At 42.7% G+C, this 27,868-nt stretch overlaps 1 protein-coding gene across 46 annotated transcripts in view, besides 1 other annotated feature; it reads left to right on the plus strand.

The window, feature by feature from the left end:
- Nucleotides 1-27,868, plus strand: part of NAV2 (neuron navigator 2) — a 776,366-nt gene that overhangs the window by 535,287 nt on the left and 213,211 nt on the right. For 28 of the 46 annotated variants that reach the window (XM_017018522.2, NM_001111018.2, XM_047427828.1 and 25 more), the window contains one exon: nucleotides 11,912-12,072. In XM_017018522.2, coding sequence (XP_016874011.1) covers nucleotides 11,912-12,072 — 161 coding nt within the window. Of the gene's footprint in view, nucleotides 1-3,771; nucleotides 3,841-11,911; nucleotides 12,073-27,868 lie in introns of all 46 variants that reach the window. The other 18 variants (XM_017018520.3, XM_047427824.1, XM_024448758.2 and 15 more) reach the window with 1 other exon arrangement.
- Nucleotides 11,507-12,706: an enhancer, noted in NCBI's record as "CDK7 strongly-dependent group 2 enhancer chr11:19913575-19914774 (GRCh37/hg19 assembly coordinates)". NCBI's record gives its function as "activates an origin of replication core promoter dependent on BRD2, BRD4, P300/CBP, MED14 and CDK7 cofactors, with strong dependence on CDK7, by STARR-seq in HCT116 cells {active_cell/tissue: HCT116}" and the evidence as "EXISTENCE:reporter gene assay evidence [ECO:0000049][PMID:35650434]".

Raw genomic sequence — 27,868 nt, forward strand, 5'->3', positions numbered from 1 at the left:
CTGTGGATGCCTCTGCTTTGCCAGAACAGAAATATAGAGGGCACCAAAGAAAGGTGGCAAGGGAAGGAGGCAGCCATCCCTGAGCGGGGCAGTATCGCCTAACGGGAGCAGTTACCATTAAATGTGACTGTGTTGTGTTGAACTGAGATGGGGAGAGTCCCACAATGCAGGAGTAATCTGCAGGGTTGGGGTCTGGATTTTGTTCCCAGGGGGACTGACGTTTGCCAGTCATACTCACCAGGTACAAGCCAATTGCCACTGTAGTTACCCTCTACTGTGCTACAGTGGAAATAACATCACCCTGTAAAACTTTTGTCTTAATGGTAGAAAAAAAAGGAAGACTTTAGGAACTAGAGTTTTTGACTTGAGGTCAAGTTCTACAGAAAAGTTCATACTGTTTTCTTTTAAGCCACAAGACTTCAGCTATAAACCCTAAATGTCACTGATCAGATTGATTGCTTGATTTCATCCAATATGTGCTGAAGAGTAATGGCCTTTTCTTTTCATTCCCCCAAAGCACCAGCATTAATAATCATAAGGCTTCTCACACACCTTGATATACCTTTTATTACCCATTTAGTTGGACAGAGCACAAAGCCGCTCAAACACAGCTGCTGCCTTTTAGACAGTTACAGCCTTCTTTTTTCCCCATGAGAAGTGCTATTTCCCAGTTGTGATGATGTTAAAACCAGCACTGATGGGTGTAATGCAAATCAGGTCCCATAATTAATTATCTATTTATATCCAGTTTGCATTGTGGGAATTTGTGGGGTGGGAGAGATGCCTGGACTAGCAATGAGGAACAGACAGCCTTATCAGCCATTTGCCAAACCCTTTCCCTGGAGAACTGCCTGAGTGGGAGTCACTCCCAGTCAGAGCTTCCCTGATGGACATGGGTTATTTAAATGATCAGGGTGTCATTTCCCAGACTGCATTCTGCTGAGTGCTCATTCCCTGGGATGTTAACTTGGGTCATATTGCAGTTCTGTGGGGGGAAAATATTGGGAGATAATTTGGGTTAAATTGCTATATGGCTCTCATTGTAGGTCTACTGAGATCCTTGAACCTGCCAATATGCATTTGTTTATTTAATTGGTATTAAGCCTCCCACATGCCAGACACTGTTCTAGGCACTTGGGAGTCAAGAATGAATGAGATTGCCGAGGTGCCTGCTCTCCTATGCTCCTAGAGGAGGCAGGCAAACAAGCACATGAACAGGAAAGGGAGCTATCAGATAGTGGTGAGTATTATAATAAGATGATGGGATTCAGAGGGGCTGGGTTGCTAATTTAGGTTTGGTTGATAGAAAGGTCTCTCTCAGGACATGAAGGGTAAGCTTGGTGTGTTGGAAGAGCATAAACAAGGTTATTATAGCTTAGTAGGGGAGGAGAGGGATCAGTGATAAGGTAGTTTGGAAGGAGAGAGGGCTGCTACCATTTATGTGGATGACAGTGTGACCTGTGGTCCCTGGAGTTGCACATTGCTGTGGCACTCAGGCCCCGTCATAGAGTACCAGTTAAACTGGATAGGGTTTGGACTCCATTCTAAGGGTGACAGGAAGCCATGGGAAAGTCTTAAAGTAGTAGAAAGACTGGATCTGATTGGCAGGTCAAAAAATCCACCTTTGCTTCTCTTTGGAGAATGAGATTGTGGAGGAGCAAGAATGGAAGGAAGGACCTCAGTTGAGAGGACTTTGCAATCCTACAGATGAGTTGGGCCAAGGTAATAGAAGCAAAAATGGAGATGGACTAATTCTGAATCCTTAGGGGGTTGAGCCAAGAGGCCTGCAAACAGATTAACTCTCGGGAATAATGGAAAGAGAGGAATCACAGATAAAGCCTAGATTCCTGGTTTGAACAGTTAAGTAAGTGGTGGTATTATTCTTTGAGATGAGGAAGCCCAGGAGAGCAGGTATGCATTATGAATGTTCAGACAGGTGGTGACACAGAAAGGAGCATTCTACAAACTTGGCCACGTCACTCTTCTTATTTTATAGAGCATCTCACTGCATAGGGTTCCAAGGAACATGCATTGAGAAATAGTGGCTTGTGTCACTGAGCTTTGCTAACCTGAGGCATCCATTTCCATGGTAGGCGTTTGTTTTCTTAAAATAACCAGATATTCCAGTCAGAGCACCCATCTCCCAGTAAGCCAAAACATCCTACTACTAACGAGTGCTTTACCTAAAGAAGAGCCAAACTTACTTGAGTCAGGTTTTTACATTCATTTATTCCAGCTACAAAGTGTCCTGCCATCATGGCCCCCTGACCCTACAGTGGTGACATAGACCGGGCTTTGGAGTTGCTGTATGTCCTCATCCCTTCATCTTGCCCAGGTTGGGTTACTTCTGCAGAAGACTGGTTTTATTCACTATATCCTGATACTTTCTAATTGTATTTCCAAAGGATAATCTTGTTCTCAAGGTCTAGGGATATGCTATCCCATGCTAACACTCTGGCTATAAATTTAAGAATGATAAAATTACATCAGTGGCTCGGTCTCCAAATTCTATCTTTGATAACCAAAATTCCAAGGGCAGTGGTTTGGACGCTTGATTATTAATGTCAAATGTTGATGCAAACCCCCCACATGCCAGGTTTGTTTTGTTTTTCTGTTAGAACTCTGCCTAAAAACTATTTTGAAGCTATCTAGGTTCAGCACCCCTGGGGGGTAGCAAATACTAAAGCTTGGACAACATTCCATGAAGTTTGCTGGTAAAGGAGCTATGGAAGTTGGCAAAGAAAATCTGAGATTTTTTTTTGCTCCACTGGCATGAAGGAATCAGAGCAAATCTTCCATGACAGCTTCATAGAGGCTCACTTTGCTTCTTCCCCTTAGCTCATCTCATAACTGACATGGTGGCCAAGAACTTAATCCACATTTCACCCTGTGAAATTCCCCACTGGTCTAGAGTCCAGGAGAGGAGCATAGTCTCCAGGACTTGCTTTTTTTCCTCCATCTGTGTCTACACAGATAATCAGTATTCAGTTGTTAAAGAATAATCCAGAAAATGACTTTATATTTTTCTCTATTCTCCTCTGTCTCTTCACTGCCTAAGACTAGTAAAACCAATAAATTATTTCTTACCTCAGATCCTTTCATGAACATGGTACAGGATGTATGGATGCAAGAAAGATAAATATTTCTATCTTTCAGAAAGCAGTAAATAAGTTTAACTTTTTCTTTTATTAAGCCTAACTAAAATTCTTTATATGTACCAATTTATAGTACAAGAAAAACAGAATTTAGTGAGTTTAACAAGCATTAAATGGTCATTTCTATAGCATTAAAAGCAAAAATCCCCAAGGCCAGCAACATCTGGGTATAGGTTTGCAAACATCTTGTTTTGGGTCACCTTTATGGGATACTGAGGACATTCATCTGAAAAGCACCCCAGTAGAACAAGCATGTGAAATAGAAACATCTCAATACTTTAGAAAGGCATAAAGTTTGTTTACTTGTGAGGGACCCCATATTTTGAGAATAAGGCCTTAAGGCAAGAAAGACATTTGATGTTTAAAGAAACACACACATGAATACATACACACAAGCATTCTTAGATAATCTTAAAAGCAGTTTCTTCACATTGGAAATCTATCAAATCAGTAAACTGAGACCTAGAAAGAAAGCTGTGTGTCATAGAAAACAGTGGGCAGGGGGGGAAAGAAACAGCAACATCCCCATTGTCAGAAGACTCTTAGGATTTGTGTGTCTAATGTATCTTCTCTCTCCTCATTCAGCTCTTCCACTTTTTTCTTTCCTATCATGCAGTGCATCATCCAAGGACTCATCTCAAAGCAAAATCATCCGCTTCACTCTGGGTCAGAAAAAGATCTCTAGGTTAGACTTTCTCTGTGTCCTGCAAAGCATGGTTTAATCCCAACCCACTGTTCCATTGTTCCCTCTGTTCTGGCTGAGTTTGCCTTTGGTCCTCTCCTCGTTTCATGTTTGCAGTTCGAGAAAACTAAATGTGCTTTGGCTAATGGTCCCATGGTGCAGAGCTTTGAAAGTGGCCATGGGATTGTTGCAAGTGTGTGTGGGGGAAGTGACAGAGTGCAAGTGAGATTGAGGTGTACATGACGTTTCGCATTTTCTTGACTTTTGGCTTTGACTGCTTTGTCATCAGACTCCATTCTGATTTAGGTAAAGGTGAGTTTCTACATAGTTTTTATAGTGGTTTTATGATGAGTTTGCTTCCTGCTTCGTCCTGGCCCTAATCCCACCTCACCTGCATCTCATTTATGTGTCTTGTGCTTTGTGTTGTTGTTGTTGTTGTTGTTGTTAAAATTACTAATGTGGGTTTGGTTTTCCCTTGAGTTATAAAGACTTGAGCATGAATCCATATTGGGCAGAGGAGACAAAACAGCAAGGCAGCTATGTCTCGTCTTTGTTTCTGGATGCTCTTAGGTGCCATGGAGACCGCCTCAGTTCCCTGAAAATAAAAAACAGGCTTGCTCACAAGCTAGTTCTCTTAATTCAGACTTCAACCTGTCTGCTGCCTCCTATGAGGACCCATCCTATGGTATGGGAAAAGCCAGTTATATCACGTTGCATCATTGCTTCTACTGTTATTTTCAAGGTATCAACAGCTAACATTTATTGAACGCACCAGTTCAAATGTGTCATCTTATATCATCCTCATGCCAGGCTTCATGAGGTAGGTCATATTATTGTCTCCATTTCACAGATGAGGAAACTAAAATTTAGGAAGTTACATCATTGTGCCCAAGGCCACACACATAAAAAATGGACGAACCAGGATTTGAACACAGGTGGTCTAACTCAGAACCTTCACTATAACCACAGTGCTACACTCTCTTCCCTCTCCTTCAATTCTGGTATCTCTGTGGTTGTTGAGGCTGCTTTTTAAAATCTTACGTTTCAACCACTACTCTTGGCTTTTTCTCTCACACTGCCCTTGTGGCATCCTAACAGAAATTGCTGCTGGGGTAGAATCTCCTTATTATGACTGGTATTTATTTTTCATTGAATTCTTATTGAATTCTTATTCTTATATTTCATTGAATTCCATATTCTTATTGAGTATTGAGTCACCCTATTCTTGGTTCACAGTATGAATTTACTCTTGTTTAAATTAATGAAGTATTAAACAAATTTGCAAGTGCATCATTTTAGTATACATATCTATAGGGTTAGGAGGATATTTTATTTGCTTTTTGGCTTTGTATAATTCTTACCTAAATGATTGCAGAGATATCCAAGTGAAGTGTACTTCTACAATTTCAATACATATTCTTATTGAGTATGGAAAGGGAAATCCATACTCATGTCTGTCTTCATTTATCACAAATACATACAAAATAACTGCTCACTTGCTACCCCAGTGTGTTAGCCTCTAGGTGCCTTTCCTAGCCAGAGTTTACTTTTCTTTTTTTAGACAGGGTCTTGCTCACTCTGTTACCCAGGCTGGAGTGCAGATGCACTTTGAAAATGTTCATCTCAGACTCTTGTGTATTGATTTTTGTCCAGTTCTGATACTTTAACCTAGACTCATGGCGCTATCATGGCGCTATCATGGCTCCCTGAGGCCTTGATTTCCTGGGCTCAAGCAATCCTCCCACATAGCTAGGACTACAGGCACATGCCTCCATACCCAGCTAATTTTTTTTTTTTTTTTAAAGGTGGGGTCTCTCAATGTTACCTAGGCTGGTCTCCAACTCCTGGGCTCAAGCAATCCTCCCGCCTTGGCCTCCCAGGGCGCTGGGATTACAGGTGTGAGCCACTGAGCTGCCGAACCTAGAGTTTGGTTTTCTGAAGTGCTTACACTTGGGGAGACCCAGGTCAGGCTCTGCCTGGCTGGCGAGGGGAGAAACCGTATGGCAGTGTGCTTCTCCATAGAGCAAGTCCACACGTTACCCAGACTCGGTGGAGGAGGACAATAGGGAACCCAAGTTTGTCACCGCTTCTGGTAGCCATGCAGAAAGTGGCTGCTTTCCCTAACAACACCAGGCCCAAGTCAGAGTGGAAACCCACTGCTCTGGCAAACTGGTCCCTTCTCAGTTAGGTTGAATGTCACACAAATGCACATACATAGGAAAGGAAAGGGGAGGGATGAGCTGGGAGGAAACCTGAAATTTAGTGCCTGTTCCCACGATGTGCTCAGTCCTGCAAGATAAAGAAAACAGGACCTAGCTGGGGAAATATCTAATTGGAAGCACATGCCCATCCCGTGAATGATTTGTTATCAGTCCCAGATGATGGAAGAAGGCAGGGGGAAGAGAGGAAGCACTGGAAGATGAGGGCGTGTCAACCCTGTCCTGAGGCTGGGCTGGGCACAGTGCTTCTGGGTTTACCCTAAGCCAAGATCTGGCTTTCCCTTAGTGTCATATCCCCTACTTAGAGTTTCTTTGAGATACGCTTTTGTCTCTGCTGAGGCCAATGAAGGGATGCTTCTTTGTTTCAAATGAAGCCTTTGAAGGCTCTTCCTTGCCTTCTCTACACCCCCCTTTCCCCACCCCCAGCCTTGAGCAGGATCCTGTGAAGAATTTTAGCTGATCAAGCACCACTAAGCACAGCAGTAAAGTTTGGTTGCCAAAAGAAGCAGTCCTACCCCTTCTGGCAGAGTAGGCCACCTCCCCTGGAGCTCTGGAAATAGGTCTCCTGTTGGAGACCAAGCATTGGTGGAACACCTGCCAGAACCCAACACTTTGATGGGCACCAGGGGTATTGAGAAGAATGGGAAGCCTCACCCTTGAATCTGGATGTGGGGAGGGGCGTATGGAGGGAATTGATATAAGGGTGAAAGCTCTCCATGGACTTCTGCCTTTGACCACTCTTATTGCCTCCCGGCCTCCCTGGTGAGCCCAGGGAGGCTTATTTTACCTGCAGGAAGCAGAGAAGCATAGTGGATATGAGGTGCAGTTAAACCTAAGCGAAGGCCCATCCTTACCACTTACTGATGGTGTTACCTGGGCAAATGATTTGATCTCTATGAGCCTGGGTTTCCTTATTGGTCAAATGGGGTAGTCTTGCCTTGCTCACAGCATTGTGAGGCTTAAAAAAGTCATTTAATGAATAATTATAAATATAAATTAATAAAGTCTTTCCTTAGTCCTGACATATAATCAGTTCAGATATGGCAGTGTTGGTATTTTGGGTTCATCTGGGTCAGGTAAGGCAACCAGGCTGCCTCTAGAAAGTCCCACAGAATTGATCTGTATGCAACTATCTTGTGGAAAAGAGGCAGTGGGGTTAGTAGTTTGGTCCTCTCTGCCCAGCTGCTGGGCTGAAAAGCAGATGCCATGGAAATGAGAGATTTAGTATGTAATCATCTCGCCTGGCAAAAAGCATCTCTGATTATGACCGCCCCCCGCCAAACCCCAGCATGTGCACACAAGCTGCCATGCTTCCTGGGAGGGGGCATCCTCTGCTCCCAGCCTCTGAAGTGGTTTTGGGGGAAAGAACTGTTTTTTTTTTTTGCCATCAGCACGTACATCGCGTGGAACAGAGGAGCCGGGATGCACTCGTAGGTTATGTGCTGGGAATGACAGTTTTACTGCTCTGCTTAATTGGCTCTGCACACGTTGGAGAAATTGACCATGGCTCTAACAGCAGCAGGATTGTTCCCCCACCGCTTACACCACTTCCCTTAAGCTTAATATTTTAAAAACTCAACATGTATATGTTTCAAAGGACCCGTCTGTGTTCTCTGTTATTTGTAATTGTGTTTGGACATACAGTGATTATGAGAGGTCAAGTTCCTCTTGGGAAGGAGCTATTGGGACTTTCTGGTGCTGTAAGGGATGCAGGGTTGACCTGCCACGCTCCCCTCTCACCACGCTGCCTCAGTGAGGCAGGCCCAGTAGGCAGCATCCGTTGTGATACCTGCAGCTGTTCCACAGGAGCCAAGACCTAGCTCTTCAGCAAACAGGGATTCTAATGCTCCAGATGGCAGATGCTTCCAGACTGGAGGTTGATAGACATTCCCATGATACACAAGGATGTTACCAATAATGAATCTCAAAATGTTAGCCAGAGGCCTCGGCTCTGTACCACTGGTAAACTGGAAGATATTCTGCTTTTCACCTCTACCTGTGCTCTCAGCCTCCTTAATTAACACCACATCCCTGGAGGGCAGGACCAAGTCCAAGCTCCATAGTGTAGCATACAAAGTCTTCCCTTCCCTGCCCTGCTTTCTTCTCTAGCCTCGTTTCCTCCCACTCTGTCCCCCGAGTCCCAGCACACACCAGCTCTTTCTTTCCCCTGTACTTTCTACAGGCTTTGCTTCAGAGTGGCATGCTCTGCCCCCTGCTTTCCCATCCCCTACTCACATTCCCATTCAGCGTGCCAGACTTGCTCTGGGGTCTTTTACACACTACCTTTCCTGATCATCTCACCAACCTCCGAGATCTTCATTTCCTTCTCTGAATACCTTCTGAACTTCACGTATTTTACCAATACATCTGTAATCTAGATGTCAGCTGGGGTCGACAAGCCCCTTGAGATCCGGGTAAGATTGAGCATTCTAGCTCTGCCTCTTTCAGTTTGTAGAAAGTCCAGTGGCCTCCCAGGTTTGCTTGGGTGTCTCAGGTTCTTGTGGTCACCTTTGGCTTTGAAATCCTGCACTTGAACCCCAGTACTTAAAAGTTCAGTCTGAATTAGTTCAGTTTGTGGATGGACTCATCATCCCAAGAGATGTTTTGGTTCCCTCCTGGGTGAGTCCGGGCTTAGCTTTTTTTCTTTCTTCCCACTTACCACACAGTCATTATGGCCTTTGTTTGTGAACCAAATTTTGCTGAAAATGTCAGACGGAGGAGGCTTACTTTGGAGCAAGCAACGATCTGAGCCCATTTACAACAGAACCTAAGTGTTAAACTACAGAGTCAACATAGATTCTCTCTGAATGGTGGGAAAAAGTACATGATCTCCATCCAGTTTTCTGATTTGATCAAGTTCAGGGAGCTGTCCTGACTAGAGTGTAGAGGCGATAGTGGTCAAGGGTGGACAGGAGCTGGCTTGAGCTTTTTGGTGGCTTTTGACGGCTATATGCAAACCATTCGCCCTTTGCCATGTCCACTATCCTCACAGTCCTCAAGAACTCCTTCTCCATGTCCCAAAAGGCTTGGCACAATGCTGCAGCCATTTGAACGATGTGCTGCTCCCATCAAAAGAGTAGCTAGCCACTGACTCAGTGAAAAGAATCTGACCATGACAACCCAAGGAAAACCCAGAACTATCTTAGTTAATCCCAAACCACGGATGTTTCATTCCAGAGAGTGGAGCCCACAGATACCCCAAGTATAAGATCTCAGTCAGCCACAGATACTTGGATTGAGTAGTTTCTCTTCTGGAATGTTCCTAGGGAGATGATGAGCCCTGCTCGCCGAAGCCTATCTTGCCTCTTTGAAAATGTTCATCTCAGACTTTTGTGTATTGATTTTTGTCCAGTTCTCTCTGATACTTTAACCTAGACTCATCTATTTTCTTGATTTATCCAAGTATTTCTTGTGCCATAGCATGTTTCTTTTATGCCAGTGTCCAATCCCTTCATGAACCCGTGTTCACTGGAGAAGACGAGAAAGGAAACTAACATACGGTGGCTGGACATTAAGCCATTTCAGATTTACAGCTATACCCAATGGTATAACTGTTAACTATTGGGTATAACTGTAAATCATTATTCATCATTATTCCAAAGTTACAGGTAAGGAATTTGAATCTCAGAGAAGTTATGAGACTGCTCCAATGTCTTGTGTATGGAAAAACCTGTATTCTATCCATTACACCATGCTGCCTCACAGAGGACCAGACTGCCTACCTGATTTAAGGTTGTGTCTTTCCCATCCTATGCTTTGATTGCTTGCCTCTATAAAGTCCTTATCCTGTCCTAAAAATCTGCTGTGGTTCAGCCTAGGGTCAGCACAGCAGGGGCTCTCCAGCAACTCTGAAAGAATGCATCTTTTCCCTCTTCATTGCTTTTTGCTTCCCTTCTCTTTGCAAATTCCACACTGTGGTAGAATACTGTGACCTGCGTTCCCCTACACCACTTAATACCATTGCTCTGACATCATCTTGGAACAAGTCCATAATCCTTTTCTAGGCCTATCTGTGGGCATAATGATTCCCAAAGACTCTGTCTGGTTTAAAAAGTCCAGCCCAAGGGAGGCCCAGATCTTCACCTGCAGAAGCTCTTCCATTGGATGTGAGTAATCAGATAACACTGACTTGAAGGACTTGCAGAACATTGTTTGCATTGGAAGCAGAACCAAGAGGTACTAAGATCCCACTGCTGGACCTCCTTGGCCAGATGTGCTAGCCACATCTGGTCCCCAAACACAGGCACTGGCACTGCTAGTATTTTGTACTCCGTTCTGTGCCTGTCTTTGTGGAGTGAATGTCCTCTCCAAAGGAGATGAGGTAAATTAACCAAGGTACAAATCCTCGCAGCACAGTGGGAAGTAATTCTCACTGCAACTTGTTGGGGGAAGAGCTAACCCCCTTCCTTCTCTCCCAGCTCCCAGTCAGGGAATTGGGCCAGCTTCTTTTTAACTATATAATTTTTACAGTCCCCTCACACCAGCTCATGTTCTCTGTTTACTCTACAACCATCTTTCTTGCCCAGCCAACAAGAAAAGTTTAAAGTGATTGCCTGCTTATATCTAAAATGCTTCCAGACTGTAGACTTCTTTGGTGCTTACAGATTTGCATGGAAAGAGAAGGCTGAAAGTTTTATGACTTGAAAATTCAGACTTGTCACTAGATCTAATGCTAGTCAGCTGAGGTTCCAGTGGCTTTTAAACACAGCTAAGTGGATTTCAAGCTGAAAGATATAACTAAACATTTCATCATTTATTCATCTTTCAACTTTAATTATTGGAAACAGCCTGCTTAGTAATTCCCTGGACCAAAATCCTGATTTGAGGAGTCTTACCATTAACTCTTTGGTGAATGGGCCATAATATCTTTAGACACATTATGGATGGTGACTTTATTTCCCAAGCCACCCAAAATGAGGTGTTTTATTTAAAGGGAGAGTGTGTGTTTGTCTTTAGGCCAACAAATTCCTGCCAGTTTTACAGGAAGAATATATGATGTTATCCATCTACTGTGCAGATAAGTTGTACTTCAGCCTCAAAATAATGCCTTTGGAGACAGGTCATCAGGTGTTGAAGGGAAATGTATGTGTGGGCAAGTGTTTCCAACCAACCTGAAGTTTTCATTGCAAATATGTTGGATTCTGAGTGGTAGTAATTCACCTTCTCACCACTATAAATTGTCCTTTTCTTGATACTTACAACCCCAGATTATGGCAAACAGTTTTTATACCTATCAGAAGAGATGCACACACAAGGTTATCAGTTTAGAATCCTCTGAGGGCTTTATGTTCCATGCTTGATAAAATTAGAAATGACTGGCTTGACCCTATTCAAAAGTAAAAATACTTATCCCAGAGGGAAAAAAAAAATGAACTTTGTTTTTGTTTTGTTTTGTTTTGAGTCAGGGTCCCACTCTGTCACCCAGGCTGGAGTGCAATGGCGTGATCTTAGCTCACTGCAACCTCTGCCTCCCAGGTTCAACTGATTCTCCTGTCTCAGCTTCCCAATTAGCTGGGATTATAGGTGCCCACCACCATGCCTGGCTAATTTTTGCATTTTTAGCAGAGATGGGGTTTTGCCATGTTGAACTTTGTATTTTTAATCCACAAACATATTTCTTCATCAAAATTTTTCTCTCTGCTCAAAGGGAAACTTCACATTTTGCTGTTGGACTTTGCTGGGGTCATTACTTGCCTACATGTTTGTAATGGTTCCACCAAATTCTGTGACTGGCAAACCTCCACACAATGTCTTGGATAGTTTCTTTTGCCTCCTGCATGGTTGCAGTTCCTTCTTCCTACACACTGTTATTCTTCTGAGACTGAATGCATTATCCTGTTGCTTTTGCATTTTAGACTTCCAGGTCCTACCGCGAGGGTATCCGCTGCAGGCAGCGAGGCCAAAACACGCGGAGGGTCAACTACTGCTAACAACCGACGCAGCCAGAGCTTTAACAACTATGATAAATCCAAACCAGTCACCTCCCCACCCCCACCGCCAAGCAGCCACGAGAAAGGTGAGTCACCTTCTTGAGGAGCCTTTTTGGTATTTTCCTTCAGAGCACATCTACCTAGTTCCTTCGGGTGAATTGGGTTGGGTCATGGGGAGGGGTTGCATCTGTGTTGAGAATGAGTTACAAGGACATATTTGGTAGGCAGGAACTTTAGTAGCCAGAGGTATTAATAAAGTGGGGGAAAATATTGTTATAGTCACTAGCAAAAATAATTTGCTATCTTTGTTTGGGTGGGGCCCCATAGACACCCGGCTATGCATAGAAGCAATATAGCATTTGGAATTTGAAAATAAATTTTCATGGAATATGTTCCATATATTAAGTAGTTTTTCAGAAATGCAAGCTTCTTGGAGCATGCATTTTGTGAACTGTGATAAGCTTTTTTATCCGTCAGAAATAATGTGAGGGGAGTTAGGAACAAGAGGTTTTTCACCCTTTGAAAAAGTCAGGAATGTGGATTGGCTCATTGAAGATCTTGGCTACATATAAGGAGTGGACAGCATTGCTCTAGGAGTTGTGATGATGTAACTTTTGCCATAAAAGGATATGGATTTTTTTTTTTTTTTTACTATACACAGTACTGAGTTTTTAGGATGGAGAAAAATAGTGAATAGTCCCATGGGGGTGCTGCCCAGAATGTAGTAAAACAAACCTTTGCTTGTTTCAGCCTCTATCTCTTGAGACATTGGAGAAACTAAGGTAGTTTCAAAGATTATTCAAAAAGAGGCAGAGCCTTCCTTCATTCCTTCTAGGCAAAGTAGTCTAGACATCTTTAGGAAATATGTCCAGGTCTCCTGGAAGCATTTCCTACCTGGTGGTGTAGAAGATTCCTAGGGCTGTCTACGTGGTGTTTCTCTATTTCCCTGACGTCCAGGAAAGCTGCCCCCTCACTCCCTAAAGTGCCCCAGGGACATGGGCAGCCCTCCTACTGTGAATGAGCTGGGAACCGCCGCCATTTTCTCCTCTAACTCAGAGTCACTTGATGCAGTGGAACTGAGTTCCCCCAAGAGTTTGCTAATCACTCTATCTTTTCCTCCCTACATATGAAGGAAATGTATACAGGGCTGACAGATGTGTATGGAGAAAGGTTTCCCAGCCAAGGCACTGGGAACTCTGCAAATGGCACTAACGCCATCACCAGGATGTCTTAACCTATCAAGACTTTGTCATCCAGCCCTTAGTTTCTGCCTCAAGCAACCATTGTTACTCTTCTTCTCTCTCTCCTTTCCTGCTTCCTTGCCCTCTTCTCTCCCACTTTCCTTTTCTTCACCGTACCAGTGTGTTTTTTAAGTGTGCTTAGGTTACAAAAATAATATATGCTTGTAAAATGGTACAAGTATCAGATAAAAGTTCTCCTGCATATTCTCCTTAGAGTACAAATATACACCATTCTATATATATCCATCCATAACTTTCACAATGCATATATGTGTATGTATATATGTATTTGTGTGTGTATATATATATGTAACAGAAAGTTTTGTGTTTTTACATTGATGTGTAAAAGCTAAACTTTATGAGTACCTACCATGTGTCTTATTTTACCCCTATTTTACGAAAGATGAAACTAAAGCAAAGAAAGTTTAAGTACTTGCTGAAGTCATATCAGGGATAGTGAGAGATGGAGTTGAATTTGAACCCAGGCACTTCGGTTTCAGAACCATGATTAATACCGTGCTTTCCCTGGAAGTGGGAAACAAATGCTTGAAGCTTCGCCTGTTGAGGGCTGGTTGACTGGCACAGGAGGAGAAAGTTGGGAAGGTGTTAGGAAAAGCCTGCGCTGGGCCTCTCCTCGCGGGCCAGTCTGCCCTTGCCCTATACTCATTTGGGGAGAAGCTATCATAAAAGAGTCTGAAAGATGGATGTGAGACTCAAGTCCAAAAAATTGAGAAAATAAAGATAAAAGTTCCTGGTGGATTTAACAGGTATAGAAGTATACTGTGTTCTACAGCTGCCTATGGGTGTGCCCGCCAATGCTAGGACAGTGACTGACCTGACCCTGCCCTGGGCAAAGGCTCCCATATCTGCTCTGAGCAGCCTGAGAACAACGAGGCCCCTTAAAGGACCATGGTGCAAATTCCAGTAGAGGCAATGCCCCAGGGAAAGACTTTAGTGTCAGAAGAAAGAAAGGGAAGTCATACTTATTTTTTTATTTAGAGATGGAGTTTTGCTCTTGTTGCCCAGGCTAGAGTGCAGTGGTGTGATCTTGGCTCACTACAACCTCCGCCTCCCGGGTTCAAGCGATTCTCCTGCCTCAGCCTCCCTAGTAGCTGGGATTACAGGCATGTGCCACCACGCCCGGCTAATTTTATATTTTTAGTAGAGACGGGGTTTCACCATGTTGGTCAGGCTGGTCTCGAACTCCCAACCTCAGTTGATCCGCCCGCCTCTGCCTCCCAATGTGCTGGGATTACAGGCGTGAGCCACTGTGCCCGGCTATCATACTTATTTATTAAGTGCATATTATATGCCAGGAACTTTGATTTTCTTTCTTTTCTTTTTCTTTTTCTTTCTTTTTTTTTTTTTTTTTTTTTTTGAGACAGAGTGTCACTCTGTCAATCAGGCTGGAGTGCAGTGGCACAGTCTTAGCTCAGCCTGCCAAGTGGCTGGGATTACAAGTGTGCAACACCATGCCCAGCTAATATTTGTATTTTTAGTAGAGATAGGGTTTCACCATGTTGGCCAGGCTGGTCTCTAACTCCACTACAGATCACTACAAAAGTGATCTGCCCGCCTCGGCCTGCCAAAGTGCTAGGATTGCAGGTGTGAGCCACTGCGCCTGGCCTGATTTTCAGTATGGTACCTGATCTTTACAAATATTCTGTGAGGTAAATACTGTTAACTCAATTTTACAGGCAGAGAGAATGAGATTAATAGAAATTAAGTAACTTGCCCTCGCTGGTAACTAAGCACTGGAATTGTATCCAGGTTCCACTCGGGGATTCAAACTCTGGCTTCTTCCTGTCCTTGGGGAGGTCTGTTATGAGGATAAGGTACCTGTGAGAGTGTTATGTGAGCTGTGACGATGGAAAACTCCTGTGAGGATTCACAATGATAAAAATAACTGATGGTGGTCCCAGTCTGTAGAAGGGTGCATTTATTCTCTCTCCTACCCTGGGCTGTCCCAGGTTTTTTTTTATACTAACTTTTTCAACCATCCTGAGGTAAAAAGCCAGTGGAAGTTTACTTTCAGAAACTTCTGCATTTCCTTCACCTTTTTCCTTGGTTTCCCTTGAGTCTGACCTGTTGATTGCAGCTCCTGAGGTAGCCAGCCCACATGCAGAGTGAAATAACCACCCGGGTAAGACACAACAGGTACCTGGATGAGGTCACCTCTTGTCCTTCACCTTGAGTTCTGTCTCGGGGAGGGACGCTCTTGTGAACAGATAAGCCACAGTTTGTTGTGGTGGGTGCTGTAGCTGAGGTGTGGACTGTTTTCAGGTGAGGTAAAGTCCGTGATGTAATCCCATCACCCCTGCTCCTTCACCGAAGCCTTCCTGTAAGTGAGTCAGACTCTGACTGTGTCAGGATCTGGCATTGCACTCTCAGGTGAGCCAATTCATAGACTACTTTTTCAAAAAGTAGTGGCAAAATACCTATAACATAAAATTAACCCTCTTCACCATTTTAATCAATAATGTTAAGTATATTCACATTGTGGTACAGCCAATGCCTGGAACCTTTTCATCTTGCAAAATTGAAACTCGGTGCCCATTAAACAATAACTCTCCTTCACCACCTCCCACCAGCAGCCCCTAGCAACCACTATTCTACTCTCTGTTTTTATGAGTGAGAACTCTCGATACCTCATGTGAATGAAATCACACAGCATTTGTCTTTTTGTGTATGGGACAGAGCTACTGAAGAATTAAATAATTACTTATAAAGCACTTTACTGCTTGGAAAATAAACACTGAGAAAATTTTATCTATCAAAATGTGATAGGATATGCATAAAAATATGGAATAATATAAATAATGGGCATATTTCACTTAGCATAATGTCCCCAAGGGTCATCCATGTCATAGCCTGCAATTCATAGGCTTTAATGTGTGACCCCGTTGACCTAAGAATTTCACTCGGAGGAATTGTTCTAATGACATCAGTAAGTTAAATTAGAATTTCATTATTCTGTCAGTAAGTGACAAAAATATTTCAACATTTAGTCCCAATTTTTAAAAAATATTAAGAGGGACTGTAAACTAGTTCAACCATTGTGGAAGTCAGTGTGGTGATTCCTCAGGGATCTAGAACTAGAAATACCATTTGACCCAGCTATCCCCATTACTGGGTATATACCCAAAGGATTATAAATCATGCTGCTATAAAGACACATGCACACATATGTTTATTGCGGCACTATTCACAATAGCAAAGACTTGGAACCAACCCAAATGTCCAACAATGATAGACTGGATTAAGAAAATGTGGCACATATACACCATGGAATACTATGCAGCCATAAAAAATGATGAGTTCATGTCCTTTGTAGGGACATGGATGAAGCTGGAAACCATCATTCTCAGCAAACTATCACAAGGACAAAAAACCAAACACCGCATGTTCTCACTCATAGGTGGGAATTGAACAATGAGAACACATGAACACAGGAAAGGGAACATCACACACCGGGGCCTGTTGTGGGGTGGGGGGAGGAGGAGGGATAGCATTTGGAGATATACCTAATGTTAAATGACGAGTTACTGGGTTCAGCACACCAACATGGCACGGGTATACATATGTAACTAACCTGCACGTTGTGCACATGTACCCTAAAACTTAAAGTGTAATTAAAAAAAAAGGGAATTAAAAATTGTAACAGGCAACTTTTCAAAACCCATAGAGCACTTTATGCTTTGTAGGGAAATCCTAAAGAATTTATCTTAAAATCATGCCCCCTCCTACCATCATCACTGAATTTAGTTCTGGTTACACAGAACAACCCACTGAGACATGAAGCTAAAGAAAAAGTGATAGTATATAATACTTCTTAGCTAGAAAAGGCCTAGAGACTCCCATGAAATTCATTCACTTGTTCCATAAGGTGGTGACCAAGTACACAGTTCATGTATAAAAAACAAAAATATTCCTGGACAGCAACATAACCTACTAGTTTTCCCAAAGACTGATCTCAGATTTTGCCTGTGAGGTTTGGAGGAAAGTCTGCAGAACCTTTAGGAAAACCTGCAAGTTGTTTGTTGTATCATCATTGCCATCATGGTTAGATTTGCCTTTGATTTCGTTTTCTCTCTCCTGCAAGCAGCAATGAGCCACAGCTGTGCCTGACCTGTGATTTATATATATATATATATATGTGAGCAGATTTGCCCGCAGGAAGACTACTCACTTCTGTTGACTCCAAGTGGCCCTAGGGCTCCAGACCAGAATCACAGATTTTCAGGGGCAAAGAAATAGCTGTCTTTTTAAATATTTGTGATATTACGTGTTTTCTCTTCCTGTCCTCTCACATCCTTTGAATAAATTAACACTGCCTGGGATCTAGTACATTTCTAAAGTATTTGGTCCATATTATGAATTTGAAACATTTGGTATTCCTAGACTGACTTACATGCATATAGAAGATACTTTCTTCTGAATAATACGGTTTTCTTCATTTTACAGAAAGCACATCTTGATTTTCGTTACAAAAATAATGGAAGATATTCAAACAACATAGAAATGTATTCAAAGACAAAGAACCCTACATAGCCCCACCTCCTAGATTAGCCACTGTTTATCACTTTGTTTATATTATTCCATATTTTATGCACATATGATCACATTTTGACAGATAAAATTTTCTTAGAAAGTGCTTTATAAGTAATTATTCTTCAGAAGCTCTGTACCCGTACACACATTGATATTACTTTCAAAATCTTTTAAATGAAATCATGAAGTCATGGACAGCCTTTCTCGTTTGTGCACATAGGTCATTCTTTCTTCCTAATAGTCACATAATATTCCATTGTATGGATTTACCACAATATCGTTTAATCACTTTCATTTATGTTGTTTCCAATTTTTTGATGTTTTAAATAGTGCTGAAATTAATATCCTTGTATGTTTTTTACATGTATATAACCATTTCAGTGTAATTGCTGTATCAAAGGGTATGCATAGTTTCCTTAATACTTCCAAATTTTGCTCCCAAAAGATTATACCTATTTATATACCCATCAACAAGATATGAGAGGGCTACTTTCTCTACATACTTGATAGCACTTTTATCACTGTCTTCGGCAAAAAATACTTTCATTCTTTTGAAATGAGGCAAATTATTTTAAGAAGCTGAAATAACAAGACCATTTGATAAAAACTGGACTTGTTTACTGACACTGCTTTGACAACCAGTTGCCTTAACATAGTACAAAAAAGCACTTGAGTTTGAGGTCAAACTTTCTACTCTCAAGATACTTCTCCAGACTCAGTTTCCCCTCTGTGAGTCTGAGGTCCTCCATCACTAAACCACCGTGAGGTGTGAATGAATTCTTCAGTTGGCGCTGGCTATTGCACCTCATCTGATGGGAGCGCCATCCGTGATCCATGCTTTCTGGTGGGTTTCCTCCTCTAGTTTTTGTTCTGTGTCATTCCCTTCCTCTTTGTTCACTCCTTGTCATGAGCAGAAGAGAAGAGCCAGACATGGCTCGAGACAGAATTTTATAACCTTCAGCACTATGTCATGTCTGAGTAACTTTGGGGCCATTGATTTAGAATCTCTATAAACATGTCACTTTATGGTTGGCAAACCAAGTTATTTATCTGAGCTGGTGATTAGATGTAACCATGGAAAAGTTGCCCACGTCCTGCTATTAACCAGGATTCTGACATAAAATTACAGGTTAGACTAGATGAAATTAATTCAGTCATCCAAGTCATGCAGACAAAAGTACAGTTGGGGTGGCCTGTTTCAGGTTACTTTCTTCATTTGTTCATTTCATCATCATTTATAGAGCACTTACTATCTGTCCAGCACTGGACTGGTTGTCGTGACAGGCAGAATTGAGACACAGACTCTGCTTCCCAGGGACTCACAGTCTCAGAGAGGAATGATGCTCACGTGTTCTATAATAGAGAGAGGCTCAAAGTTGTGAGGAAAAAGATGAACATAGCTGGGAAGACTCAGGGAGGACTTCCGAGAAGTGATATCATTTGTATTGATTTCCATTTCAAAATTTTTGCTTAGAGAAAAGGAAGGCTGGGAAAGAATGACTTGTCCTGCCCTTCCTGATCTGGGTGTTAATCTGACAGCAAATCTGCTGGGTTCACTGTGTTATTCAACTCATATTCTATGGAGGGCTTGTAGAGTGTAAACTTCTGCAAGATCATTTCTGTGGTGGGGTAGGGCCTCCCTTGGTCATCAAGAGATCTTTGTCATTGCTGGAGCTATTATCCCAGGCCAGGGAGAGCTTAGGTGTCGGTTGGTTAGAGTGGGTGATAGCCATCTTTTTTTGGGAATCAGCTGTGATGTTATTATGACCTTCTAGCTAGTACCCATAGTTGTCAAAGGGCTTAGAAAGCCAACCTAGAGGTGTGAACCAAGGTGGCATCATTGAATTTAAAGAATTCTCTGGGATATTGCCTGGAATGGAACTCAGTGACCAGTTAGACCACCTGTTGAGGCTAAGTAGGCAGGATGGATTAGATGCTGCCAAATTTAGGGACTTCACAGATCACTGGAGGAATAAACAAGAAGTTGTATCAAAGTCTCGGGGCCAGTGTTCAGTTATCTCAGGAGAGGAGTTTTGGGGCCTTGCAATCAAAGAGAATGCAAGTACCGTGAAGGCAGACCACTGTGTTTGAGTATTGGCTCTGCCGCTTCCCAGAAGTATGGCTCTGGCCAAATGTCATGGTCACCAATGCATCTGCTCAGGATGACCCTCAAAAGACCATCACAGGCCATGCTTAGCACCATTCTAGTGCTGTACCCCTGCATTCCCAGGTAACAGCTCAGGTGTGAGGGAATAAGACTTGAATAGGGCAGGTGCACAAGTCCATCCAGCTTAAAAGTCACATACCCCAAGGGAGTATGTAACAGCCCCATAAGTATAAATTCTAGGGTTCCCACAAGGATTAGGCCCAATCAATTGTCATAGAACTCAGAGAAGCTCAAAATGATGGTGTCCTCAGGAAGTATTTATACCTCATTTATGGTTTTTCCCATCCAGATGTGTCATTTTTACCATAAGCAATGTGCTTAGTAATATAGTGGGCATTCTATCTTTATCACATTTCCAGGGGAACAGTTAGCAAGTTAACCCAAGGTCAAATTCTCGTCCAAAAGAGGAAAGGGTTTTGTTAATCCTTTTCCAACAGCAAGTTATCTTACCTCTCAGAGATTCAGTTGATTTATCTTTGAAGTGGCAACAGGCTTCTATAGCCCTAATGTTGGGAGAAAGTTAGATGTGAAGCATTCTTTCTCATTTTTTGCATAATCCAATTAAAACTCTAGACTGTTGTCTCTCAAGGTGTGATTCATGAGCCATCTCATCATCCCTTGAGGTAATTGCTAAAAAGACAAATCCCCAGGCATTACAAACTGAGTCCTTCTAATTCATATTTTTGAATAAAAGCCTAGAAGTTTACATTTCACACCCATGAGATCTTAAGGCACTGGAGCTTGAGAACCCTAGTTTTAGCAGGACTTCTTGGTTACCTTTAAAAGAGAACACTGCCTGCCGGGCATGATGACTCACGCCTGTAATCCCAGCACTTTGGGAGGCTGAGGCAGGAGGATTACTTGAGGTCTGGAGTTTGAGACCAGCCTGGTCAACAGAGCAAAACCCTGTCTCTAATAAAAATACAAAAATTAGCTGGGTGTGGTGGCGTACGCCTGTAGTCCCAGTTAAGTGGGAGGCTGAGGCAGGAGAATCGCTTGAACCTGGGAAGCAGAGGTTGCAGTGAGCCGAGATCACACCACTGCACTTCCTCCTAGGCAACAGAGCGAGAAAAGAGAACACTCCCTTTTAATTGCCCTTTAATTCTCAACAACTACTTTGTAGTACATTGTTATGGGGAATGGAGGTAATATAGTAAGACACCCAGACAAATGCCTAGCACATAGCAGGAGATTAATAAATGGGGAATCATTTAAATGTATGTATACATTTTGTCATATACATATTGAAATTTATTCTCAGAACCAGCAACTTACACTGGGTAGACTTAACTACTTGCATAGGTCTTATTTTCTTTTGGCTTTGTGCTATTGCCTCACTAACCTTTAGCAAAGTTCTTTCTTGCATTTTTCATTTTTACATTTTCATTGCTGTCTTGTTTCTGCTAAGCTAACAGATTCTTCCTTAGACTGGCAATATTAAAAAGAAAGTGTCCCTTTGAGGTCTAAATAGGGAAGCAGAGGGAATACAAGACAAAGAGGTGCTCTGAGGGAGAAGTTGGCTCACCTTGCCCTAGCTGGAGAATCATCTTTTAGCTCTTTGTCTCCTTGGCACTTGCAGAGCTTGGTGGTACTTTATGTGGAGGAGAGCACTGTCCTGTTCAGAGGAAGGGCGAGCACTATTAAAGCTGCCTAGAGAGGCACCTGAGTGACGTGCCCAACTGCCCTTACTCCACCCTAGCTTTTGTCCTTAACCTCAAGCATTACAGTCAAACATCAAGGTGAAAGAAATTGTATCCAGTGCAGTCTTTTGCCCCCTTTGGGAGTCATTTTCTTGATCTACTGTGTAATTTAAAAGAGCCTTCAGAAGAGGAGACACAAAAATCCCTCTAATGTGTGAAACTAATAACCTTTAATGCTGAAGCCATCCTTTTTTCACAGAGAAGAAGAATGCCACCATGTTTGTTTGTCTCTAAATATGGATACATTTCAAAACCAATGTGTGAACTTATGGTTCTGCTATATATCCTTTCTCTAAAATACAATAAACCTGGCTTTTTGTAACAAGGAGTAGAGAAAAAGAGAAAATATATCATTTGGAAAGATGAAAGATCTATTTGATTAGTCTTGTCTCAGGAATTGAAAATGACTAGTTGATGTTCATCCGATCTTCAGATGATAAATCTCAGCATTTCTCTTGCTTCCATCTGTTACGTGGAAACTATCACACATACATGAATTCAGTTTCATTTCAAGGATCATTGGGAGGGAGAAGTATTTACCTTTCTGGGTGCTCTCATAATAGTCATTTTTATCAAGCTCTCATCTGTAGTCAGGACTTAGTTCGGTCATCCCTTAGTTTAAGGTCCGCTTTAAAAGTTTATGTCCTCCAAGTTTAGGTATTTGACAGTGTTCAACAGCATGAGAAGATACATATATTTTGGGATAAATGAAACTAACATTTCTGTGAGCATATGTAGCCCATGTTCACAATGTGAAGTGCAAGCATGGAGTGCTGAGGAGAGAGACCCTGAACAGTAAAGCCTGGCAGCTCATGTAGCTGCAACTACTTACTGAGGAGTTTCTTGTGAATGTGCACTTGGCTGCCTCTCTGGGCCGAGGACATGACATCCTCAGGCTTCAGTGACTCTCGCAAATAAAGTGCTTGTTTCTTAGCTGCAGCTTGCCTTTGTGATTCCATCAACGTGTGCATTTCATTAGGGTACCAGTGTGTAGCCCACGTGCCAGGGAGCCGTCTTCTCCTGATGAAGGTGTCGGGGTTGCAATGAGAATATTTGAGACAATGGTCATGGTATATCTACTTGGTGGTGAGAGTGACACATGGGCCATTTGCAGGTGTCACACCCTGTGGACGAATGGTCATGCTACACGGTGGTTTGTGCCAAGGCCTCATGGACACAGTTCACATTCTTAGTGTCCTAGGAGCTCCTGCCATGATTCCTTAGCAGTGGTTATGCTTGTTTTTATGATGGCAAGGCTCCCCAAACTTTGTGGACAATGCACAGATAACAACTGCTGATGGAAATCAATGGCCTGGCCTGCTTCCTTCATAAGAGCAAAGGTAAAGGCAGCCTCTTAACATCTAATGCTCCCTTTGCCTTTTTCAGAGTTGGAGAATCACAGCATTTTTCTGAAATGTGGAGTGGGAAATCTAAATGTGGAGTGGGGAAGCTATAATTACATAGCTTGGAAAAAGAAAAGTTTAAGAAAAAAAAAAAAAAGTCCTTTGGCTCCAGGACAGCCTAGGACTGTAAGTCACTGCTGCCCCCTACTGCCCAAGTTTTGTGTGTGTTTCCTAGAGGATCCTTGGTTTCTAGCCTGGCATTCTCAGGCACTGTGCTTGGGAGGATAATAACTTGCAGACTGTCTAAATGCTTTCTTCCAGACAGGGCCTCCCCACATTTGTTTCCTCAATTTAGGAGAATGTATGTGAAATGGAGAAAACCCACAGTGTGGGTGTGATCAGGTTCATGTGGCCTAGTGGAAAGACTTTCTCTTGAGTGGTGAGGAACTGACAGCAGGCCTGAGCTAAAATTGGTCTTCACAAAGCCGTCCACCCACTCACTTGGGCAGGCAGCCAGCTGGTGGATTCAAGGATCAGGTTTAGCCCTAAGGAGAAGGATTTTTGAAGGCACTAGTTGATTTTTGCTGCAAAAAGGTTATGCTAGATTTGGTTCCATTTTTAAGAGGCAAATAATTCTAAACCAGACTGTATAGTGTGGAATAAATGATTCTCTCCCTTATTTATTATACATTCATGTACTTGGAATTCAGTCCTTCATATATTCATGTGTCTGAGGTTATTTATTGAATGTCTTCTATGTACCAAGCATTATGCCAGTCACTGAGTATTCAAAAGTGAAAAAGCAGATTATTTCTGCCTGCATGGAACTTAAAGTCTGATGGAAGAGACAGTAAACAAATGCAAACAGTATCATTACATTTTGTGGTAACTGGTCTTATAAAAAAAAAAGAGGGGTACTATGAATGAACTTAATTCTCTGGATTAGGTAGAAACTTAATTCTCTGGACTAGGTACAACCTCTTCAGGGTGAGACCCATAGCCAAAGTTTGCAGGGTCCATTGTGCCCATGATCCCCATTCTCCCACACAATGGTTGGAAATAAAGGATGTTTTTGAAAACAGTTTTATGGACAGAAACCAGTTCCCTTGCACAAATGAAGATCTATATCCTGAACTAGCTTTTTTCTTCTCTCTCTGGACATAGGGAGTAAAAGTAAAAAAAAAATACAGGGAGGCAAACTTTGGCTCCATATGTATATTGTGAAAAGAACTTTTCACATTTGTCTTCTCACAGTTGAATAGGCTCTCTTGAGAGTAGTGAGTTCCCTGACCCCAGAGGTATTCAAATAGAGGCTGGAATATCACTTGCTAGGGATGCTACAGGTGAGGTTTCTTACAATAGCCGGTAGGTTGGAATAGATTTTCTCTCAGATTGCTTGCAAATCTAGCATTTAATTACCCCAGGCAAGGGTAAAGTTGGTGTGATTTGTTCTGGAAGAGTCTCCTCCACCTCAGTAATTTCACACATATCCCCACAGTTTATTAGAGTTCCCAAAACCCCACCTTTGGATTGGTTCCCTTAAAAGTATTCATTCATTCCAAAAATGAGCTTTATTTTTGAGGGTGCTACTTGTACTCTAGGATTCATTTGTATGCTGGAAAAAGGCTGCATCTTACGTGGATATGCCTGTGTGCATTTGTGATGACCTCTTTTACTCCATTCACATTCTTGAGAAGATTTCTCCCTTAACTTCACTTAAATTGTCTTGAACTTGCCAAGTTCATGCTCAGAGGCCATCAGAGAGTTCACAGGCAAGGATGGGTGCCACACAGAAGAAATCATGGCTACTTCATGAGAAGTCACATGTGTGGTTTCCACCATTTAACACTTGGATAATTCCTTGCCCTCATCTAAGAGCCAGATAGGAATGTTCATGCAAATTATTTTTTAAAAAATCTATTTCACTGACATGCTGTAGGGGGCAGTATTCATTAAGGAAAACCAGGGACAGAGTCCAGGAAGAGCCAGTAATTTCGACCTTGTAGGGAAGAAACTGGGCCCTATTTTTAACTATTTCTGTATACTAGAGACTCATTCAGTCTGTCCTATTGTTCGTGCATGAATGAGGCTCTGACCTTCAGTAATGAACCTTCTTAGGGGGCCAGGATTAATTTGGCTTATGTTAAATTCATCTGGCTTGGAGTGAAAACCAGTGAATACCTGTGAGGGAGAGGGACTTTTCCATATAGGACATATGTGCTAGGGCAAGGATTCTTACCTAGGTCACCTGACTCCAAGCTTTTGCTCTTTTAGCCACAATTTGAACCATTTCAGGCTCATACCTTCCAACACAAGTAGTGTTTACCTCCCCCAGAACATCTTCAAACCTGTTACTGCCTAGGAAATAGATAATAATAAAACTTGTGGGAGCGAACCTTTTTTTGGACCCTCTCACCTTGATAAGTTTGGTGAAGCAGGTGCCTTACTCACCCCTATCTTCCCAGCCCCTCAAAATGAATGTTTTCAAATCATAGCCACGTATGATTTCTTACAAGCCCAAGGCTGATGGGACGGTCTTGCTAAGGTGCACCAGCTTCAGGGGGTCTCGGCTGGGCCTGCTCCTATGTCTGAGGGCATCTGGCACATTGACTGCATGCTGGCTGGTCTGTAATGGCCTCAGGTGAGACAACTCAGAATTCTCTACATGGTCTTTCATCTCCCAGCAGTCTGGTCTAAGCTATTCTTCTGGTGGTAGGTGAGTTCGAAGGCAGAGAGTTGAAATGTACAAGGCCCTTTGAGGCCTAAGCTCTGAAAGAGGACACCAGTTTTTGTCTTCATTCTGTTGGCCAAACCTAGTCACGTGACCTGCCCAAATTCTTGTGATTGGGAAACAGATTCCACCTACTGAAGGAGGAGCTGCAAAGTCACATTGCAAAGCGTACATGGCACAGAGAGGGGTGGACACTAGGGGCTGTTTTTGTAATCAATCTACCACAATAAACAGGTTGCACCCAGTGAATTTGTGTTGATGGATTGATTTCAGTTGTCAAGGTAATAGTCTCTTTCCACTGTAGTTGCATGAAAATGAGAATGCACTGAGCTCATTTAAGATGTACTAAGACATACTTGCAGTTTCCTATAAGTTATAGGGGCATGTAGTTCTAAGAACTCACGGGGGAGAGCAGCCAAAGCATCCTTGGTTACCCCAGTCCCATAGAAGGTGTCTCTAAGAAGCAGATGCTGGCAGGTCGGTGAAGGGGCACAAGCACCACTTGCTTTATGAGGCCCCTGTGGCCAAGGAAAGAAGGTAGGAACCAGCTGTTAAAGTAGAACTCCGCAAAACAGGTCTTACTCCACTTGAGTCTGTTCTCCAGCCTTTGGGATTCTTGGTATTCACAGGCCTACACTTCTCTGCTTTCTCTTTCCCACACCAACTGGCAAAAGTTGTTGTGTGATGAAGATGATCCAAATGTCAGACTTGGGCTCAGGACACCTGGGGTCTGGTCCCAGCAACTCTATTTGATGGCTGTGTGGCTTTGATGGGTCATTTAACACCTCTGAACTTCACATTCCTCAGCTCTAAAATGGAAATGAGGATAGCACCAACCACATAAAGTTATTGTACGGTTTCCGTGAGATGAAACCATACAGAAAAATACCCTAAATTGTGTATATAAGGTTTGTTGAATCAATGATTTCATAAGTGTCCAAAAGTCAGAAATGACTACAAAGGGGAAAGTAACCACAGCAGCTGAACTGAGAACCTCAGAGAGCCAGTTCTCCACTCCTGGTCTGTTGCTTCAGATCAAAAGTCTGAAGCACCCCTGTAGCCGCCTCTTCTTGCTCATCCTCCTCTCTCTCTGATAAACCGTGATGAAAAGTGTTTTTGAAAACCAAGGGACCAAGAAACACTGAATGACCTTCACTGAAAGGACGACTTTTAGCAAATGCACACTTGACATAGTTTGGTAAATATCCACCCTGTTATCTTTTGCTCCTGGTGTCTTAGAAATGTCACTTATTGATTCTTGAAATTCCCCCACTGCCACTCATAGGGGGAGGGGGAATTTGAGACAGAAGTATTGATTGAAACTAGTGAACACTGAAAGAAGCATTTGTTAGGTGGTCCTTTCCTTTTTTATAAATTGGCTAAAGTAGACGAAAGAAGATACATCTTTTGGCGGAGTTTTAAACAAAAGGAAATTAGCCAATTATATTCCTATAAAACAATGTTTGAAAGTCAGAATTGATTATTTTTCCACAGTGTTTTGGAACAAAGTACTCTGATAGGTGAAGGATCAAAGGTCTTTTCTCTGAATATGATTTTATTTTTCCTTTTGTTTTTTATCATCCCTCAGTCTGGGTGCTCTGATTGTCTTAATGCATCCAGACCCACAATTTGCAACTTGCTGCCCCATTGCTGGGGGCTGGTGACTACAGTGTCTTTGGACAGATTAGAGGAAAGACATTGTAGCTGAACTCCCAGGCAGCCCCCAGGAAAGGAGCAGGGAGCTTTCTGTGTTCCCTTCAGTCTGAGCATGCCAAGATGCCCTGGCTCTGGCCTTGAGGTGTTAGTCAGCATTAGCACTTATGATCTTGGCAACCGGAATGGCCACTGCTGGCCGGAAACTGATCAGAACTGTTCAGTCTCATTAAGGAGCCCCTCAGATCACCTTCTCAGATGTAACGCTTCAGAAATCATCAAACGGCTAAGGTAGAGGCTGGCTTCCTTGAAGTCTTTCCAGAGGCTTTGGCATATCTGCCTTTTGGATGAGCTTAACTAAACAGAGAGCTTTTGAGGTCCAGGGTGGGTGTGGGAGCTCTCAGGGCACTGGAAGTAACACTGTGGTGGGGTGGGAGGAGGGTATACTGAGCTTTTCTTGGCCCACCCGTTCACTCCCTCCTTCCTCCGTTAACCT

The sequence above is a fragment of the Homo sapiens genome, chromosome 11 (genome assembly GCF_000001405.40).
Source record: "Homo sapiens chromosome 11, GRCh38.p14 Primary Assembly".
Taxonomy (NCBI): Eukaryota; Metazoa; Chordata; class Mammalia; order Primates; family Hominidae; genus Homo; species Homo sapiens.